Source organism: Homo sapiens, chromosome 8, assembly GCF_000001405.40.
Source record: "Homo sapiens chromosome 8, GRCh38.p14 Primary Assembly".
NCBI classification, from domain to species: Eukaryota; Metazoa; Chordata; class Mammalia; order Primates; family Hominidae; genus Homo; species Homo sapiens.
This window is the reverse complement of record NC_000008.11, coordinates 128,266,441-128,271,991: the sequence shown is the minus strand read 5'-3', so window position 1 is coordinate 128,271,991 and position 5,551 is coordinate 128,266,441. Positions and strand designations below refer to the sequence as shown.

Sequence of the window (5,551 nt, the reverse complement as noted above, 5' to 3'; positions counted from 1 at the left end):
CTGAGCAAATGTCAGGACTTTGTGTGTGTGTGTAATAATTATATAATTAAGAATGATTATATCTCAAAATTTCCTAATCTGTAAACTGGAGAGATAATAACCCACAGGGTAGTTGTGAGGACAAGGTCTGAGAATGCTAGGTAAGTAATCAACACAAGGAAGCTCTCTATATCACTGTTGTGGTTGACGTCACTGCTGTTGTATTTATATCATTTTATTATCTACTCTAAGTTACACATATGCTCTGCCTTAGGGTGTTCATAGCAACTCTCTTGTAAAGATAAGCAGCTAACGTCATCCTCTGTGGGCCAGAGAGGGAAAATGGGCTCACTCAGAACTACACAGCTAATCACTGGCAGAGCAGGAAGGAGCCCAAGGGCTGTCTTTATGTCACCTGCACTTCAATTTCAAATTCTTCTCCTATCACAGAGACTTTTGATTTGTGTTGATGAGGTCTGCCTCTCCACATTCTGTGAAAATAACAACATCTCCCATCTCCCCTCCCGTAAGTCCACACTAACTCAGAAGAAATTTGTTAAGCCTCTATTATATGCCATACACTGTTCCCAGGGTCTATGGAATGTCTTCCAGCAGTTTGTCCTCAAGAAGCTTCCAATCAATTGAAAAAGATAAGCACCAACCATCTGGAATAACTGCTTCTCTGAATCTAAGATTTGGAAGGGAATGGCCACCACTAGAATTTGGGATTTGTGAAACGTCAACGATTCCTCTCATCTCTACTCCTACCCCTATGTCCTCAGAATGTTCTCCTTTGTCTCAAGGTATAAGATTCCCTTGTTCAGATGCCTAGAAATTCTTTATGCTTATTTCAAATTAGATGCTTTTTTTTTTCTACTTTAAATCAGTATTGCACTGATTTAAAGCCCAGGCTTTGGGGTCAGATAGATGTGCACCTAGTTCCCATATTAGCACGAGCTTGTATATTTTACTTACCTTTGAAGAAACTAGAACTCCTGTAAAGTAAAGATGACAGATTTTTGATGGAGGATTTGAAGGAAAAAACATATATAAAGTACTTACCACAAAACTAGGCATGTGGTAGTTCTCCATAAGTAGCAGCTATTGTTAATGATTATATCATTTATATTATTATTGCTATTATTACAAAACCATGTTACTTAAGTAAACATTGTGTTAAATCTGAACGCAGAGTTTGGCAATGTTGTTACTAATATCTCTTCTGTAAATAATATTAGTGCAATTAACTGGTTATCTAGTGTAATAGACCTGAGGTCCTTGCAAATAATACAGTTATTCATAGTGCAGCTGCATAGATTAATTAAAAATTTTAAAAATATTTGTCCTTTTTTTCCTGAAGTTGCAACAGCTCAGTTTGGAAGCACTGGTCATTTCATAACCATCAGCCATAAGAAGGGGTTTGCTCCAAAGAACAGACTTATTGGAGTCAAACAGAATATTAATCCCAGCTCTGTTTCTTAGTATCAGTGTGATTGTGAGGAGTTCAGCTCCACCAGGACTCTGCTTCCTCATTTGTAAAATGGAGATGGTAATATCAACCTCCATGGGTTATTGAAGAGTCAGTGAAATAATATGTATAACAACCACTGCACTATGCAAATGCTAGTAAAATACTAGCTATTTCGCTATTCTTAAAAGATTGATTTCTGTAGTTAATATGAAACTGGAAAAAATTTTTATTATTTTATAAATATAATTATTTGGTAGATAGACTCTAAAAATAGAAGGTTCCTGATGGAATAAAATAGTGGAAGGGATGCTTGGTTTAAAAGGGTGGAAGGGAGTGTATCATAATTATTAAATACCCACTGTATGCATCCAAATAGCATACAAATACCATATTAATATTAATAGTATGTGTTATAGATCCAGACAGATCTGGATTCAAATCCTAGTTCTATTGCTTCTTAGCTGTGAGGCATTGGACAAGCTACTAAATACCTCTGGGCCTCTGCTTCCTGATCTACAGGTGCAATAACAAATATTACCTCCCTCACTGGGTTTTGATGAAGATTATGTACATGGAAGTACTTATCACAGTATCTGAGAAATATCAGGCATGTTACAAACATTCACTTTATTTTAACTATTATAATATACCAAAAAGAAAAGACAGCTTGGTCAGTGTTCTCTAGGTCAGTGCTTTAGAGAGAATAATACACTTATTTCAGGCAGAGCAGCAGTTTCAAGAGTAACATCTGAAGGTGCTGTGCCAGCTGAGAGAAGCAAGGTCTGGAACTGAAGCCCTGAGTGCTTGTAAATCAGAGAACCGTAGCAAGCAGAGGAGAACCAAGGCTAGCAGCAACCTGAAGGTGGCAGGGTGCTACACTGCCTGAAATATTAACACACATAGGGTGATCATACCTCCCAGTCTGCCCAGGTGTTACAGTATCTACTGATATGTAGCAATTCGCTCCAAATTTAGCCGCTTAACATTTTGTTCCTGTATCTGCAATTTCAACAGGACTCTGGAGGGAGAAAGAAAGAGAGAGGGGGAGGGAGAACAGCAGAGAGGAAGAGAAGAAGAAGTAAAAGGAAAGAAGGAAGAAAGAAAGGAGGGAGAAGAGAATGGATTAATAGATAGACCGACAGATAGATAATTGAAAATTACAGGATGGCAGAATTTGCTTGGACTGAAGAAAGAGATTGCAGAGAAAACCTCACCATCCCTGGTATGCTCCAAGGGAAAGGAGATTTATGTAGAGACTGAAGGTTGCCCCAGTGAACTCTGACATCCCTCTTAGCTCTCAGATTCTGTGACCCTCTTTAAGGAGCAGGCATGGTGGTGATTAACATTCCCTTTTCCCAAGATGAGTGGTGCAAGCTTTCATCTTGCAATGTTTATAAATGCCTTGAAAATGGAATGTGCCACATACACACTAAGAGCTATTATTAATATGGTGTCCAAACACCTCTCTCCACATGATAGTTAAACAACAAAGCATTAGGATGCGAGAACTTCCATAGTATGTGTGTGTGCACACACCCCAATTAAGGAATGTTCTTTATTCTCTCTCTGCCTTGGGAGAGATGGGAATACCTCACAGAGACCAGAGATGAGGCAGAATTGGGGACATGCAAGGGCCTATATAGATAATTGGGTGACAAGAGCATAATTAAGCAAACCACTTTTTATGGAGCTCCTATCTCTTGAAAGATACAGGGCTAAGTGCAATAAAAAATGTAAAAACTTAACAGTACAAGGCCTTGTCCTGGGAATAAGGATATGACAAAACATTGACCTGGTTTGTAAGGGGTTTACTCTCAGAAGATAAACTTTAAGGTGAGTTGACCAGGCCCCAAATGGAGGAAACCCAGTAGGTCAGAGCAGGTGACAAGAAAGAGAAGATCCTACTTGTAAATAACTAGGGATAAGTTATCTACAATTTTTGCTGTGATTGCAAAGGCCATAGTTTAATTTTTTTAAATTTATAAATGCTTTAAGAATCCAGTGAAAGTTATGAACTGTCTCCCCAGAGATATGCACTTACAAATAAAATTTTACAATAAATCTCCTGGAGTTCACAAATTTCCTAAAGTTCTGTCCTCCTTGGGCTCTTTTTTGTACCTCTTGTGTAACTGTGACTTCTAAGATGTACATTAGCAAAGGCTGAATGGATTCAAAGCAGAGACCAGATTTTCTCCAACTCTGGATTCTGGTTGTCTAGCCCAGGGTCCACCAAGCACATTACACAAAACTGAGGAAGCCTATTTTAGGAAATCCTAGATAACTAGCAAAGCAGAGCCAACCTAAGTATACTTCCTAAACTTCCAAATGTCCCTGTTTCATTAAAGAAATAGAAGCTGGGGATGCTTAAATGCACTATAGCTGTAAATCCACCTGGAATAAACCTCTCAAAGAGATAAACATCCACTGGCAACCATTCACTGGAAGAAATAGATTTGTCACTGAAGCAAGGTGCTCATTTATATGGACAATAAGAAAGCAAAGACAAGAGAGAGTAAAAGAGAGAGGGTGGGAGTGGGAGGGCAGGAGAAGTAGAAAGAGGGCTTTGGAAAATCAAAGCTCCTCATCTCATCTTTTTCTAAAGCACTCATCCTCCTTGTGAAGGTAAATAAAACAACCCCATATGGGGATCCATTATGCAAATGAGCAGCAGGGGAGAAGTCTAAGAGGAAGAGGCCCAGGTGGAAGGTTACGTGGTGGGTCACCTCCCTGTGTCCTCTCATCTGCCGAAGCCTTTGCATGCCGCTCTAGAGCTTCTCCCCTTGAGGGCTTCCAACTTCCGGCCACCTTGAGGGACTTTCTGGTAAAGTGCCACAGAAGATAAAATTAGAAACCAGGCTTCCTTTTTTTCCTCCTTCATTCTGTTACTCACACATAAATCAGCATTCACTGAGAGACACTCCCCACCTTCTATTGGCAGACACAAGAGTAAGCTAAGTTTCAGGCTACCTCCCATCTGACTCTCATGCCCCTCCTTTTGCTCACCTGCCACTGCAAAACCAAAGAAAAACATGCCCCTGGCCCCCACATTCTCTTCATTTTACGTGTTCTCTCTTCTTTCAAAATGTGTGACCCTGAGAAAATTGCTTAACTTCACTGAACTTCATCTGTATAATGGGGATTTTAAAAAGCCTATCCACCCACACAGAGTGACCATGAGGAAAAAAATGCAGCAATGTGAGTGGTGTTTGACAGCAAGCTGAACAGCCTCACTACTCAGCTGAGATTGTTATTGGCAACATCACCATGAGCCCAGGTCCTCGGGGTTGTAATCCCAAATTCAGCTTCAGATATGATCCCTGAGGATCATGTTTGCATTTATCTCTCACTCTAATAGTCTGTACCCTTGAGGGTGGTCAAAAAATGCTGCAGACACTGGGATGTGAATAAAAAATTAGTTGACTTTCTTTTCCCAAGGCTGCTTCTGATGCAGTTTTTGTGTATCAAGAGGAGAAAATAAGGACAGAAGTTTCATGCTGTTTTTTCATAAGGATCAGGGTGTGATTCATTTGCATTTACTTGATGAAGGAGGATGGAGCATGGTCTAGAAAACTTGCAGCAACTTTTCAAAGCCCACCCCTGACAAGTCAGGTCTGGAGGAGGCCCTGCACAGCTCCTCAAGTGCCACCATACATGGGGATTTGCTTCTGAGTGGTACATGGATAAATATTATGTTTTTGTTGTAAAGTTTAGAAGTACATTTTAAATAATTATAACAATCGATACCTGTTTTTCATTAAAAGTCATCACGATTAATTTTTCTTCTGTAATATTTCTACTTAAGTTAAAAAAAAGAGTCACTATCTAGAAAATATTAAAGAATCAATAGTACAAATAGATTCCAAGTGGGTCAAAAACCTTGACTTGTTACTCCAATCAGATATCATAAACAAATAAGGAAAGCTTTGAAGAAGAGGCAAGATAGCTGGGCTCCAGTTCTAGCTCTAGTTATTTTTCTATAAAAATGTAGACACAATGCATTACATCTCTGCTCACAGTTTTCCTAATAATGACAAGGAGTATGTTGCTACATGGTGGGAAAAATGTTCTCTCTCTCATCCTTATCCTTTAAAGTTTACTCTA

The 5,551-nt window shown here is 39.2% G+C and overlaps 1 annotated feature.

Annotated features, from left to right (window-relative positions):
• Positions 4,220-4,389: an enhancer, noted in NCBI's record as "active region_27961". NCBI's record gives its function as "activates an Ori minimal core promoter by ATAC-STARR-seq in GM12878 lymphoblastoid cells {active_cell/tissue: GM12878}" and the evidence as "EXISTENCE:reporter gene assay evidence [ECO:0000049][PMID:35858748]".